The sequence below is a fragment of the Homo sapiens genome, chromosome 1 (assembly GCF_000001405.40).
Source record: "Homo sapiens chromosome 1, GRCh38.p14 Primary Assembly".
Taxonomy (NCBI): domain Eukaryota; kingdom Metazoa; phylum Chordata; class Mammalia; order Primates; family Hominidae; genus Homo; species Homo sapiens.
The window spans coordinates 232,742,758-232,758,321 of record NC_000001.11 but is presented as its reverse complement, the minus strand read 5'-3'; the positions used below and the strand labels follow the sequence as shown (position 1 = coordinate 232,758,321).

Genomic DNA, 15,564 nt, shown 5'->3' with positions numbered 1-15,564 from the left:
TGAAGGGAGTAAGATAGCTAGAGATGGGGAATAACATAGCCAAAGGTACAAAAACATAGTCAGAAATGGGGGAGTAACACAGCCAGATATAGGGGAGTCACATAGCCAGATATGGGGGGAATAACATAGCCAAATATACAGGGAGTGACATAACCAAAGATGATGAGTAACATAGCCAGATATGAGAGGAGTAACATTGCCAGAAATGGGCAGAGTGCCATATGGGGAAGTACCATAGCTAGACATGATGGGAGTAACATAGGCAAAGATGGGTAGAGTAACATAGCCACATATGGGGGAGTAACATAGCCATATATGAAGGGAGCAACATAGCCATATATGGGGAGAGTAACATAGTCACATACGGGGGAATAACAGCCAAATACAGAGGGGGTAACATAAACAGAGATGGAGACTAACATAGGCAGATAATGGGGAGTAACATAGCCAGATATTGGGAGACTAACACAGCCACATATGAGGGAGTAACATAGCCAGAGATGAGGAGCACTTAGCCAGATATGGAGAGAGTGGCATAGCCTCATATGGGGGAGTAACATAGGCACATATGAGGACAGTAATATAGCCAGATATGGGGCAAGTAACATAGCCTCATATGGGGGATTAACATAGCCATATAGGAGGGAAGTAACATAGCCAGTTATGGGGAGAGTAACATAGCCTCCTATGGTGTAGTAACATAGCCATATATGGAGTAATAACATAGGCAGATATCGGGATATTAACATAGCCACATATGGGGGAGTAACATAGCCAGACCTGGGAAGAGTAACACAGTCATCTATGGGGGAGTAACAAAGCCTCATATGGAAAAGTAACATAGCCATATATGGGGGAATAACATAGCCAGATATTGGGAGACTAACATAGCCACATATTGGGGGGTAACATAGTCTGACATGGGGACAGTAACACAGCCACCTATGGGAGAGTAACAAAGCCACATATGGGAGAATAACATAGCCAGATATGGGGATACTAACATAGCCACATTAGGGGGAATAACATAGCCAGAGGTGGGAAGTAACATAGATATGGGGGGAATAACATAGTCAGATATGGGGAGAGTAACATAATAACATATGGGGGAATAACATAGCCAGATATAGGGGAAGTAACATATCTAGAGATGGAGAGTAACATGGCCAGATATGAGGGGAGTAAAAGACCCAAGTATAGAGGGAGTAACATATCCAGAGATTGGTAAGTAACATAGCCAGATATGGGGAGAGTAACAGAGCCATATGGGGGAGTTACATGCAGATATGAGGGGAGTACCATAGCTAGAGATAGGGAATAACATAGCCAGATATAGGTGGAGAAACATAGTCAGATATGGGTGAGTAACATAGCCAGATACGGGGGGAGTAACATAGTCAGAATTGGGGGCATAACATAGCCAAATATAGAGGGAGTAACATAACCAGAGATGGAAAGTAACATAGCCAGATATGGGGGAGTAACATAGGCAGATATGGGAGGAGTAACATAGCCAGATATGGGGGAGTAACACGGCGACATGTGGGGAAGTAACATAGCTAGATATTAGGAGAGTAACACAGCCAGAGATGGGGAGAGTAACATAGCCAGAGATGGGGAGAGTAACATAGCCACATATGGGGGAGTAACATAGCCATATATGAGGGGAGTAACATAGTCATATATGGATTGAAAAACATAGCCACATGTGTGGAATTACCATTGCCATATATGAAGGGAGTAACATAGACAGGGATGGGAAAAGTAACATAGCCACATATGGGAGAGTAACATAGCCGGGCATGAGGGGAGTAATCTAGCCACATATGGGGAAGTAACATAGCCAGAGATGTGGAGTAACTTAGCCAGATATGGTGACAGCGACATAGCCTCATATGGGTGAGTAACCTAGCCACATATGGGGAGACTAACATAGGTACATATGGGGGAGTAACATAGCCAGAGATGTGGAGATTGTCATAGCCTCATATGGGGGAGTAACATAGCCACATATGAGGGAGTAACATAGCCAGTTATGGAGAGAGTAACATAGCCACATATGAAGGAGTAACATAGCCAGATACGGTGAGACAAACATAGCCACATTTGGGAGAGTAACATAGCCAGAGATGGGGATTAACTTAGAAATATGGGGAAAGTGACATAGCTTCATATGGGGAGTAACATAGCCAGATATGGGGAGAGTAACATAGCCACATATAGGGAGAGTAACATAGCCATCTATGAAGGGAACAACATAGCCAGATATGGGGGAGTAACATAGCCAGATACGGGGAGAGTAATATTGCCACAAATGGTGGAGTAACATAGCCAGATATGGGGAGAGTAACATAGCCATATATAAGGGGAGTAACATAGGCAGACATGAGGAGAGTAACATAGCCATCTACGTAGGGAGCAACATAGCCAGATATGAGGGGAGTGACATAGCCAGATACAGAGAGAGTAACATAGCCACAAATGGTGGAGTAACATAGCCAGTTATGGGGAGAGTAACATAGCCATATATGGGGAGAGTAACATAGCCACATATGAGGGGAGTAACATAGCCAAAGTTGGGGAGAGTAACACAGCCACATATGGGGGAGTAACATAGCCAGAGACGCTGAGTAACTTAGCCAGATATGTGGAGAGTGTTATAGCCTTACCTGGGGAGCAACATAGCCACATATTAGGGAAGTAACATAGCCAGATAGGAGGGGAGTAACATAGCCAGTTATGGGGAGAGTAACATAGCCACATATGGGGAGTAACATAGCCGGATATGGTGAGACTAACATAGCTAGATAGAAGGGGAGTAACATAGCGAGTTATGGGGAGAGTAGCATAGCCACATATGGGGAGTAACATAGCTGGATATGATGAGACTAACATAGCCACATATGGGGGAGTAACATAACCAGAGATGGAGAGTAACTTGCCAGATATGGGGAGAGTGACATAGCCTCATATTAGGGAGTAACATAGCCATCTATGATGGAAGTAACATAGCCATATATGAGGGGAGTAATATAGCCATAGATGGGGAGAGTAACATGGCCACATATGGAATAGTAACTTAGCCAGATATGTGGGAAGTAACATAACCAGATATGGGGAAACCCTGACACATATGTGAGAGTAACAGCCAGAGATGATGAGTAACATACTCAGATATGACGGGAGTAACAGCCAAATATAGAGGTAGTAACATAGTCAGAGATGGGGAGTAACATAGCCAGATATGGAGAGAGTAACATAACCACATATGGGGAAGTAACATAGCCAGATATCAGGGGAGTAACATAGCCATTGGTGGCAAGTAACTTAGCCAAATATGGGAGGAGTAACACAGCCAGATATGGGGAGTGACATAGCCACATATGGGGGAGTTAACATATCCAGATATGGGGAGTAACATAGCTAGATATGGGGCAGTAACATAGCCAGAGATGGTTGGAATAACATAGCCAGATATGAGAAGTAACATAGCCAGAGATGGGGGGAGTAACATAGCCAGATATGGGCAGTAACATAGCCAAGTACAGGCATAACAAAGCCGGAGATGGGGAGTAACACAGTTCTGTAGAGAGTGTGTATTTATGTGTGGTGTCAGTTAAAGGGTATTGTATTCGTTTCCTGTGGCTGTGATGACAAATTACTACACATTTGGTAAATTAACAAAAATTTCCCTCTCAGAGTGCTGGAAGCCAGGTCTGAGATTAATGTGCCAGCAGGGCCAGGCTCCCTCCAGAGGGTCTAAGGGAGTTCTCTGTTCACCATATCCAGCTTCTGGTGTTGCCAACATTGCTGCACGTCCTCAGCCTTCCTTAGCACTTCCGTCTCTGCCTCCAACTTCACATCACCTTCTCCTCTGTTTGCGTCTGTCTCTCCCTTATAAAGATGCTTGTGAAGACTGTCTTACCTAAAGATCTTTAACTTAGGCATATCTGCACAGACCCTATTTCCAAATGAGGTCACATTTACAGGCTTCCAGAATTAAGATGTGAACATACCTTTGAAGTCATTCTCAGCCCACCTCAGGCATCAAACCTTATTCAGGCCAGGATCACCTCCATATCACCTGGGGGATCCAGGACAGAGAGATGCTGATCTAAGTGCTAGCATGTATGTAATATATCTGACAGTGAGTTATTACTGGATTTAATGGCGCGATGTCTACACACGACATAAAACTGTTGGGAGGGTGGGGTAGAGAGGCAAATTGCAACCTGAACTTAAGAAAAAGTTGAAGGTTTGATGGCATCACCATGTATTTTATTGAACTTACCTATAAATTATCCTGGATACTTTACACACCATTATTTAAACTATATTTTATGTAATTTTTTTCTTAGATCAAATTGTCTTTTTGTAGTAAATAATCTTTGAACAAATCTTAACTCTAGAGAAGGTCTGTTTCTGAGTTCTTGAATGTTTACAAATACTTTTATATCATTGCCCTACCATTTGAATGCTTTTTGGTTGGATATGAAACAATTGGTTTAAAAATAATTTTTCCTCAGAACATCTCAGAATGTTTTTATTTTGAGATAGGGTCCAAATCTGTTGCCCAGGCTGGAGTGCAGTGGTGCAATCACAGCTCACTGCAGCCTCAACTACTGAGCTCAAGAGATCCTACCACCTTGGCCTCAAAAGTGCCGGAATTACAGTCATAAGCCACCATGCCTGACTGTTTTTTTTTTTTGTTTTTTTTTTTTGAGGTGGAATCTCGCTGTGTCATCAGGCTGGAGTACAGTGGCACGATCTCGGCTCACTGCAACCTCTGATCCTGGGTTCAAGCAATTCTCCTGCCTCAGCCTCCCAAGTAGATGGGACTATAGGTCCCTGCCACCATGCCTAGGTAATTTTTGTATTTTTAGTAGAGACAGCGTTTCACCATGTTGGCCAGGCTGGTCTCGATCTCTTGACCTTGTGATCCACCCACCTCAGCCTCCCAAAGTGCTGGGATTACAGGTGTGAGCCACTGCGCCCGGCCCAGATTTTTTTTCAACATACAGTTTTGCCAATAAGAATTTCGATGACAACATAATTCTAATTTCTACATAGGTAATCTATTTTTCCTCTAGGAGTTTTTCGAAATATCTGTATTCTCTATAGCTCTAAGACTTCATAAAGATACATTCTAGCCTGGGTGCAGTGGCTCATGCCTGTAATTCCATTAGTTTGGGAGGCCATGATGGGAAGACTGTGGGAGCCTAGAAGTATGAGACCAGCATGGATAACATAGTGAGACTGTCTCTACAAAAAATACAAAAATTAGCCATGCATGGTGGCATGCACCTGTGTTCCCAGCTATTCAGGAGGATGAGGTGGGAGAATGCTGTGAGCCATGATGGCACCACTGCACTCCAGCCTGGATGACAAAGTGAGAATGTCTCAAAAAAAAAAAAAAAGATACATTCTAGATGCATCTTATCAATTTATATTGCTTAGGGATTATTATTTCTCTTATAATATATGTGGGTGGCTCTTTTTATGTAAAAAAAAAAATCTATGTTTCTCTTCAGCTATGATAAATTTTTATTTTTCTTTATAATTTTCTCCATTTAATTTTTTTCTATTTCTGAAACCATATTAGATATGTTGGAACTCTTGAAATGAGCTTTCCTGTCTTTGAACTCTTTCCCCATCTTTTTATCTTTTTGCTGTATGTTTTGGAATATTTCCTTAACTTTATCTTTTAGGTCACAGGTCACTAAACTACACTAAACTGTAGTCCATGGGCCGAATCCAGTCCACCACCTATTTTTGTAAGTAAAGGTGAATTTTGTAAATAAACTCTTTCTTGTTTGTATAGTATTTTGTAAATAAACCCTTTCTTCTTTGTATATTGTCAGGGACTACTTGCCTACTACCCTGGCAGATTGAGTAGTTGTGACAGAGACAACATAGTCTGGAAAACCAAAAATATTTAAAATCTGGCCTTTCACAGAAAAAAAAAAAATTCTGACCTTTGTTTTAGGTCACTAATTTGTCCTTTATTGTGCCTGTTCTTCTATTTATTCCTTCCAGTAAGTGCTCTATTTTTGTAATTCCATAATCCTAAGAACTATTGTTTGTCCTCTGTTTCTTTTCCATAGAAGTCTATTCTTGTTTTAGGGGGCAATGTCATCTTGAATCCTCTGGAGGATATTAAATAGAAAGTTTGGCAGTTCATTTCTCTATTGTGGATTTTCTGTTTTCTCTAGGGTCAATGTTCTGTCTCTTTCTCTTACTTCCTTTTTAATTTAATGGTTTCCTCCCTTAAGCATGTCCGTTTATGCCTAAGGATGAAGAACTGGATGAGTTAATACCACATAGGTGACCAGTGTGGGTTTCCTCTTCAGTTGAGGAGGGAGTCACCGGCAGCGGAGCCCTGCGTTCTGCAGACGGCTCTTTAATTACCCTGATCATTGCCAAAGGGCCTCCTTCTGCTCTCCGTAATTGTTAATACTCAGCTTGGAGTTTCTCTACAACTGCTCTTGTCTTCCTAGTAGGTTTTTTTTTTTTTTTCTGTGTAACATGTTGGGCTGTGGTTTTCTCTGTTTTTGTCAATGTAATCCCATCTGCTTTCTATCTTCCAAATTCATTTTAATTTCAGGATCTCTCAATATCACCTCTATTCTTCCTGTGCCATCTGAATGTAGTCTTAGAAGATGCCCTTTTCCTGTCCCTGGAAAGGATTCAGGGTGAAATGGGAAGTACAGGGTGGCAGACCTGTGTGCTCTGATCTACCTACTTAGCGTTTTAGATGAGAAACATTATCTGTAGCAATCTCCTATTTGCTTTAGGAAAGAAGTTCTTTCCCACTAGCCAATTTTCTAACTAAAGCTCATCTATTCAAAAATAAAGCTTTAAACAACTTAACCATTATGATGTAAATAGCATTTCAAATATGTTATTCACTTTTCTGCCTTCTTAAATAGAGGATACTCAACATCATTAACCACATATTTACACAAGATCATCGTCACAATATGTTCCCCTTTCTGGGTGGTAATGGAGTGAACTTGGTCCTTGATTTTACCTGGCCACATCAAGCAGCTCCTGTGCTCTTCATTTATGACTTCTAATGCTCCCCTGTGTTCTTGCTGAACTTTCTACTTCTAATTTTCTGTGGAACAGGAAACCACAGGGCTATGCATATTACAAAAATATATACTGTGGATAATTGCCACTAAGACTGGGGGCTAAAAGAAGAAGAGTGTGGCTTGGTGAAGTGTCTTTCTGTAAACTGTTTCAGGTACGTGGAGGCTTTTTGCGTGCTTCTAGACCCTGAGGTTTTATTCAAGTAGATGAATGTTTACTAGGAGTCTGACTCTGATCAAGAGGGATATTTCTGTGCTAATGTTTTGTCATTAAGTAAAAAAAGTATACACATTATATATAAACTATTATACATAAACAAATTATTATATATACATATAATACATATTATATATACATACAAACTATTATGTGTGTGTATATATATATTTACACATATAAACACACATAGGTACTTTCACTCACATAGTCATGTGTGGCTCAATGGCAGAAAATGTGTTCACACATCTTTGTGTGAACATCAGAAGTACTTACACAAACCTAGATGGTCTAGCCTACTACACACCTAGGCTACATGGCACCCACTATTGCTCCAGGCTACAAATCTGTATGGCATGTTACTGAACTGTACTGTAAGCAATTGTAGCACAATGGTAAGTGTTTGTGTATCTAAACATTTATAAACATAGAAAAAGTACAGTAATAATACAGCATTAACGACAAAAAAAAAGATATTTCTTTGGAGGGCACTTACCATGAATAAAGCTTATAGAACTGGATGTTTGCTCCAGTGAATCAGTGAGTGAATGTGAAGGTCTAGGACATTACTGTACACTCTCATAGACTTTATCAACACTGTACACTTAGGCTGCACTACATTTATTTAAAAATTTTCTTTCTTCAATAATGAATTAACCTTAGCTTACTGTAACTGTTTTACTTTATAAACTTTTTAATTTTTTTAACTTTTGACTCTTTTCTAAAAAGACTTAGCTTAAAACACAAACACATTGTACAGCTTTTCAAAAATATTTTCTTTCTTTATATCCTTATCCTATAAGCTTTTTTCTATTTTAAGCATTTTTAACTTTTAAACTTTTCTGTTAAAAACTGAGACACAAACACACACATTAGCCTGGGCCTACCCAAGGTCAGGATCATTAATATCACTGTCTTCCGCCTCCACATCTTGTCCCACTGGAAGGTCTTCAGGGACAATGACACGCATGGAGTTGTCATCTCCTGTGATAACAATGCCTTCTTCTGGATTCCTCCTGAAGGACTTGCCTGAGGCTTCTACCATTAACAGTTAAGTTACAGTTACAGTTAACAGTAAACAGTTAACAGTTAAGTGATGTTTACAGTTAACTTTTTTATATAAGTAGAAGTACATTCTAAAATAATGATGAAAAGTATAGCCTAATAAATACATAAACCAGTAACATAATTGTTTACTATCATTATCAACTATTACATATAATAAATAATGATATGTGCTAGATTTTTTTATGATGGCAGTACAGTAGGTTTGTTTACACCAGCATCATCACAAACGCATGAGTAACATGTTGTGCTACAATATAACGATGGCTATGACATCTCTAGGTGATAGGAATTTTTCAGCTCCATTATAATCCCACAAGACCATCATTGCATATTTGACTCATTGTTGATTGAAACATCATTATGCACAACTGTACTCTCAAATACATGTAATGTTCTCATATATACTCTCACACACATATACTTTCTCTCTCAAACAAAAAATAGTGTGTCTCTTGCCGAAGTAACCACCTACAGGGGAAAAAGAACTATTTTCTGCATATGAGTATAAATCTCAATATAAATCCCCACTTATTTATAAAATGTGAGTAACAGGCACATTAAACCACCAGAGTTATGTTAGAAACAAGAGCTCGGAGTCGCAAGGAAAGCGAGCACTCAAATGAAGGATTTCTCAGCAAGGCAAATTTACTTCTGCAGAAGGATGCTGCTTGCACTTGTGGCCACTGCAAGAGCACACGGAACAAAGGAGGGAAGGGGTTTTTATCCCCAATGTGGTTAGTCCCTGCTTTGGTGTCCTGTCCACATTGGCTGGAGTAGGACCGCACAGGCTAAACTGACCCGACTGGCTACTGTTTAAAATTGAATATGGCTAATTAGGCGGGAAGGGAGTGGCTGTCTGTTATTGTACAAGGCATGTTTGGGCATGTCCAGGTGGGGCAAATGGGGGAAGGGTAATTTTGGCAGGAAGGGTAGTTTCGGTGGGAGGGGCTGTTTACAGAATGGGTAGCCAGGAGTAAAGAGGACTCTTTCCAAATAAGGAAGAGATGTGATTTACAGAGTGGGACTGGCAGGAGAAGTTGTTTACAAAGCAGGTAGCTTAGGAGAAGGGACAGAGAAGTTGATCTTGAGAACAAAGAACGAGGAAGTCAGAAATTAGAACTTTGGAAAGGACTTACTGTATCTGACAGTTAAAAGCTAATGTTAATAGAAAATTCTGGAGCTGCATCTAGTGGTGTTTCTATTTCTTTCTGCAAATTAACTTCTTTCAACAAAATCTGCAGAAGAGGCCGGATGCAGTGGCTCACGCCTGTAATCCCAGCACTTTGGGAGACCGAGGCAGGCAGATCACCTGAGGTCAGTTTGAGATCAGCCTGGCCAACATGGTGAAACCCCATCTCTACTAAAAATACAAAAATTAGCCGGGCATGATGGCATAGACCTATAATCCCAGCTACTCAGGAGGCTGAGGCAGGAGAATTGCCTGAGCCCGGTAAGCGAAGGAGGCAGTGTGGTAAAGTGGAAAAAAGCATTGCTTATGAACCAAATAGACCTTGCTTTGGATTCCAACCCACCACATGTGAATTTCATAAACTTTAAGTTACTTGACCTCTCTCAACCTATTCTTTCAAGTATAAATTTAGGAAGATAATGCTCGCTGTGATATACTGTACTCTGTAATATCTAAAGAGTATAGGGCAGTCTTTTTGGTCTGACATTCAAGGTCTATACAATCTGGCACCAATATATCTACTGCTACAGCTAATGTACTCACTACTGCCAAGCTACCCCATGCATAACTTTTATCTACATCTATATCCATCTATCTTAGTTTGTGTGTTGGGCAGAATAATCTCCCCTCCCCTACCCCACCACAGCCCCCCAGAGAGCAAGTCTAATCCCCAGGACCTGTAAAATGTTACCTTATTTGAATAAAAGCATCTTTGCAAATATGAAATTAAGGATTTTAAGATAAGGAGATCATCCTGTATTATCACAGTGGGCCCTGCATGTCCTCACAAGTTTCCTTATAAGGTAGAGGGAGATTTGACACTCAGACACAGAGAAGGGAACCATGTGATGAATGCAAAGACTGGAATGATGCAACCACAAGCCAAGAAATGCCAGCAGCCAGTACTGTAGTAACTCCATTAGTGGCTACAGTGCTAATTTAGTGCTAATGGTTTGTCTCCTTAAGAGATGGTGCTGTACCTAGCGCTTGCTGCAGATCTCTCGTTTTCGGCACTGACAGCATCCAGGCAGATCTGGTGAACTGGAACCATGCTGTCGGCCCACATACCTATTGCATCCATCTTTGCCACTGTAACTACCATGCTAGCTGGAAGAGGCAAGGAGCAGAATCTCCCTAGAGCCTCTGGAGGGAGCGTGGCTCTGCCAACATCTTGCTTTCAGCCCAGACTGATTGCAAACTCTCCAAAACTGTAAAATAACCTATTTCTATTGTTTCAAACCACCCAGGTTGTGTAATTTATTACAGTAGCCCCAGGAAATGAATAAAATTTGGGCTTGCCCAGAAGTTAATTCCAATATAAGACTTTGAGTGCAAGTTTTCTATGGGAGGTGACACCAAGAGTCACTGTGACAGCCTGGAGAAGCAAGGGTGAGAAGAAAGGAAAGCGAGCAAAGGGAGCATCAGAGGCCGCTGTGCTGTGGGCTACTGGGCAGTCCTGTAAGAGACTGTGTGGACCATGCTTCCCAATCCCCGCACTGAGCAGTGAGATAGTTGGGGTATTGATCCATAGTTCCCATTTCTCATTGGTCGAGGGTCATTTCTGGGGATATTAATTCTCCATCACTGCAGGCCTCCCCTGTATGCAAGTGGAGCATACTCTGCAGCAAGAATATGTTCTCAGGCAGAGAGAGGCAAGAAACCATCAGACAGGAAGAAACATGGTGAGGGCCCTGGACTTTGTTGGAGTCCACCATGCAGCCTTCTGATCCACTTGTGCCCCAGAAGAATTCCTTTCTGTTCTGTCACTGAGTCTTCAAATTGGTGGCCACTTGCAAACCCAAGAAGACCTATAACAGGGAGGTTAGTGGGATGGGCCAATATCCTGATGCTGCAGTTGGATCTGAGGCCATAATTAATACTCGTCGACTCCCTCTTCTACCACCTGTGTTTGATTCTTCTCACTTTTGCTGACTTTTTTGCTGGTCTTAGTTAGCGTATCAGGTGTGACCCAGAATTTGATCCCTGAAGGGTCTGAGCTTCTAGAGACTTTTCCCTGTTGTCAGGCCTGGTTGGTACAATTGTTCTTTCATTGTCATCAGCAGACATGGAAACAACTAGAAGTACCCCCAGAGAATCCATCTCTTGAGTTCCAAGTACAGTCATCCCTGTGCCTTTATGCATCAGCCTCTCTGGATTTTCATAACCAACATCAGTTACTCATGCCAGTAGAGTAAATGCTTTCTTTGCTGCTGGTCTATCATCATGGAGGCTCAAATTAACCAGGCTACAGTGTAACTTTAGGTTCAGTGGAACCCTTACTGTTTCTCCTAGTGGAAGCATTCCATCCCTGAAGGCCGCATCTTCTAATACAATAGACCTTAAAATTTTAGAAATGGATGCACAAAAACCCCAAGTAAGTTCTGGAAGTGAAAATGATGAGATCACTTCTACTCCTTGATTTCTGGATTGTATATTCTTGCTACTGGGGACACAGCACCCTATAATTGCTCTTGGTTCAATGTATACCACATCTTGCCCCAACCACACGGGATGGCACACCACTGGCATCTTTACTGAGCCTCTCAGGGGCCATTCCAATATTCTCTCAGGCTGACAACTTATCGGAATAATACAGTTTTTGATAGGACCAGTGGATCTCATGGCAACATGCCCATTGTCAAACCTCATTCCATGTGTAAAAAGTAGAGATTCCTCTTCAAAGACTTTCCTCCCCAACTAATTAGGAATAAATAGTAACTTCTGCTAGAAGCAAAATTTATTCAAAGACCTGTGCTAACATTCTTAAATATCTGCTAGCCATGATAAAGAAATCAATGTACTTTATGTTCTTAGCTCCCGCAGTTTAGCCTAAATATTTGCCTTGGCATGCTTATACTGGTCCACGCAAGCATTAGGTCATAGCCTGTTCTTCTTCCTTATTTGGAGGTGTTTTTACCTTTCTCAGCATTCCACAAGTTACTTCCTCTTTCCTTTGTTCTCCTCTGCTTTTGCCTCTTTTAAAAAGTTCTAAGTTGCTAGCCAATCAGGACAAATACAGAATGTGAGGTCCCATTCCAGCCAATGGAAACCAGACACAGCAGTAAGGTGGACGCGTCAGGTTATAAATGACCCTGAGTCTCCTTTGTTCGGTGTCCTCGCGTGGCAAAACTGCTGGCGAGTGTACCAGAAAATAAAGTAAAAATGGCCTTGCTGAGGAAATTAAATTTATGTTCAAGTGCTATTTCTTTATGGCACCAGGGAACAAGCATTTCTAACACATGTAAAGTGGATCCCGTGGTTCATGGCAATTTAATGTGAGATCCTATGTTGGAAAATGACTCTTTAAACCTTCAGTTAATGATACTGAGTGAAGCAGTGCAGGCAGGGATGGCGACCCCATACCCAGAATATGTATCAGAATAAAGACAAATTACTGCTCACTTCAGGGTGGAAGGTGTCCCATGGAATTAATTTAGCACTAATGGTTTGTCTCCTTAAGGGATGGTGCCGTACATAAGGCTTGCTGCAGGTCTGTCATTTTTGGCACTGAGAGCATCAAGGCAGATCTGGTGAACTGGAGCCCATGCTCTTGGCCCATGTATCTGTCACATCCATCTTTACCACTGTGACTACCATGCTCAGGGACCCCTTGTGCAAGTCCTGGTGTGACCAAAGAGAGCTGGATGGAGCAAAAACAGTATCTGCTACACTGACCTTACCTTCTTTTGTCCAGTTTCCAAATGGGAAGAGCCCTAGCTTTCGGTTTTGTTTTCACTTTTCAGATTCAGTTGTCAACACATAGCCCTATCTTCGTGACCTTTTGTGTTCTCGAGAATCTCCCGCTAACTTATATTTTTTCTTTCTTTCTTTCTTTTTTTTTTTTTTTTGAGACAAAGTCTTGTGTCATCCAGGCTGGCGTGCAGCAGCGCAGTCTCTGCTCACTGCAACCTCTGCCTCCCGGCTTCAAGCAATCATCCTGCCGCAGCCTCCTGAGTAGCTGGGATTATAGGCGCGTGCCACCACTTCCTGCTAATTTTTGTATTTTTAGCAGAGACGGGGTTTCCCCATGTTGGCCAGGCTGGTCTCGAACTACTGACCTCATGATCCGCCCGCCTCGGCCTCCCAAAGTGATGGGGATTACAGGCGTGAGCTACCGCACCCGGCCCTAACTTATATTCTCACCTGCCCACTTTCAAAGTTTCCCCTTGCTTTACGAACATGCTCAAATCTCTCCCATTCCTCCTTAGAAACAGTTCCCTTCGCTAGTTAACATCAATTGCTTTCATTAATTTATTCATCAAGGATTTTTTAAATAAGTATCATATGTCAGCCATCTTCTAACTGTTGTGGATACAGTGAATAATAAAACAGATACTGTTTTGATTCTTATGTAGGTTATATTTTAGCAAGAGGATTGGGAGATGTCATACAATTAACAAGTAAACAAATAGAAGATAATAAGAACCAGTGCTTAGTGTTGTGAAAGAGGTCAGCAGATAGTGTGGTTAGTAAATTTCTCCAGCACAGTGAAATTTCAGCTGAATCCTGAAGAATTAGAAGGGGCCAATTATACAAAAAGACAGGGAAAAACTTGGCTGACATAGGGAAAAATCAAGTGCAGAAGTTCTGAAGTGAGAAGAGGCCTGAAATATTCCAGGAACTGAAAAGGTACCACACTGAGTGTGTATTCATTGAGCAACCATTTCCGGAGTGCCTCCAGACACCAGGCTGGAGATACAATTGTGAAGAAGATGCAGCACCTTCCTTCAAGGAACAGGAAACACTAGTGGGAGAGGCAGATGATGGAGGACTCAATTTCAACGTACGTTATTGCTTTACTGAGAGGCTGCGAGGGTGCACAGAAGAGCTGCATAGGCTCAGCAGAGTCCCAGAGAAGACAGCATCTGTGCTGAGTTCAGAAGGACCAGAAACATTATGAGGCCAATGGGGAAGAGACTGGGCAGGGAAAATAACTTAAAATAAAGCAAGAGTCGGCGGGGCGTGGTGGCTCACGCCTGTAATCCCAGCACTTTGGGAGGCCGAGGCGGGTGGATCACCAGGTCAGGGATTCAAGACCAGCCTGGCCAAGATGGTGAAACCCCATCTCTACTAAACATATAAAAATTAGCTGGGCACGGTGGCAGGCGCCTGTAATCCCAGCTACTCGGGAGGCTGAGACAGGAGAATCGCTTGAATCCGGGGGGCGGAGGTTGCAGTGAGCCGAGACCGCGCCACTGCACTCCAGCCTGGGGGACCGAGTGAGACTCCGTCAAAAGAAAGAAAAGAGAAGACAAGACAAGAGAAGAAAGGAAAGGTCACAAAAGAGTGTGAAATATGGGGTCGCTGCAAATAGTTGAGTGTGACTGAAATAGGGAGTATGGGGGTAAGGAAAGATGTGAATAAAATGCTGGGCAGTCACTAAGTACCCCATGATGAGGGCGCCAAATGCCATGCTAAAGAGTTTGGACATCAGACATAGGGTGAGAGAGCACTGAAAAGGCTGAAAACAGGGGAGTATGTGAGTGGACTTGTATTTTAATAGGATCACTTAAATGCAGAGAACTGACTGGAAAGGGGCAAACCTGAAAGCAAGATGACCAGGGAATGGGCAGGTGCAGTGATCCAGCCAGTGATGAGGTGGCCCCATGTATTAGTCCGTTTTCACGCTGCTGATAAAGACACACACGAGACTGGGAAGAAAAATAGGTTTAGCGGACTCACAGTTCCATGTGGCTGGGGAGGCCTCACAGTCCTGGTGGAAGGTGAAAGGCACTTCTTACCTGGCCAGGCAAGAGAGAATGAGCTTGTGCAGGGCAATTCCCGTTTTCAAAACCATCAGATCTCGTGAGACTTATGCACTATCATGAGAACAGCAGGGGAGAAAACGGTCCCCGTTATTCAATTACTTCCCACCAGGTTCCTCCCATGACACATGGGAATTGTGGGAGTTACAGTTCAAGATGAGATTTGGGTGGGGACACAGCCAAACCATATCACCCCAGGAGAGTGGAGATCAGTCATGAGATTCCACAGTTGCT

General features: G+C 42.2%; 1 long non-coding RNA gene across 1 annotated transcript in view, besides 1 other annotated feature; it reads right to left on the bottom strand.

The window, feature by feature from the left end:
• Positions 1-15,564, bottom strand: part of LOC107983960 (uncharacterized) — a 28,789-nt gene that overhangs the window by 4,084 nt on the left and 9,141 nt on the right. Inside the window, exons 3-4 of the long non-coding RNA XR_949277.1 lie at positions 8,196-8,346; positions 4,017-4,084 (exon numbers count right to left, since the gene is read on the bottom strand). This is a non-coding gene — a long non-coding RNA (uncharacterized LOC107983960). The remainder of the gene's footprint in view (positions 1-4,016; positions 4,085-8,195; positions 8,347-15,564) is intronic.
• Positions 8,832-10,031: an enhancer, noted in NCBI's record as "MED14-independent group 3 enhancer chr1:232884037-232885236 (GRCh37/hg19 assembly coordinates)". NCBI's record gives its function as "activates an origin of replication core promoter dependent on BRD2, BRD4, P300/CBP and CDK7 cofactors, and independent of MED14, by STARR-seq in HCT116 cells {active_cell/tissue: HCT116}" and the evidence as "EXISTENCE:reporter gene assay evidence [ECO:0000049][PMID:35650434]".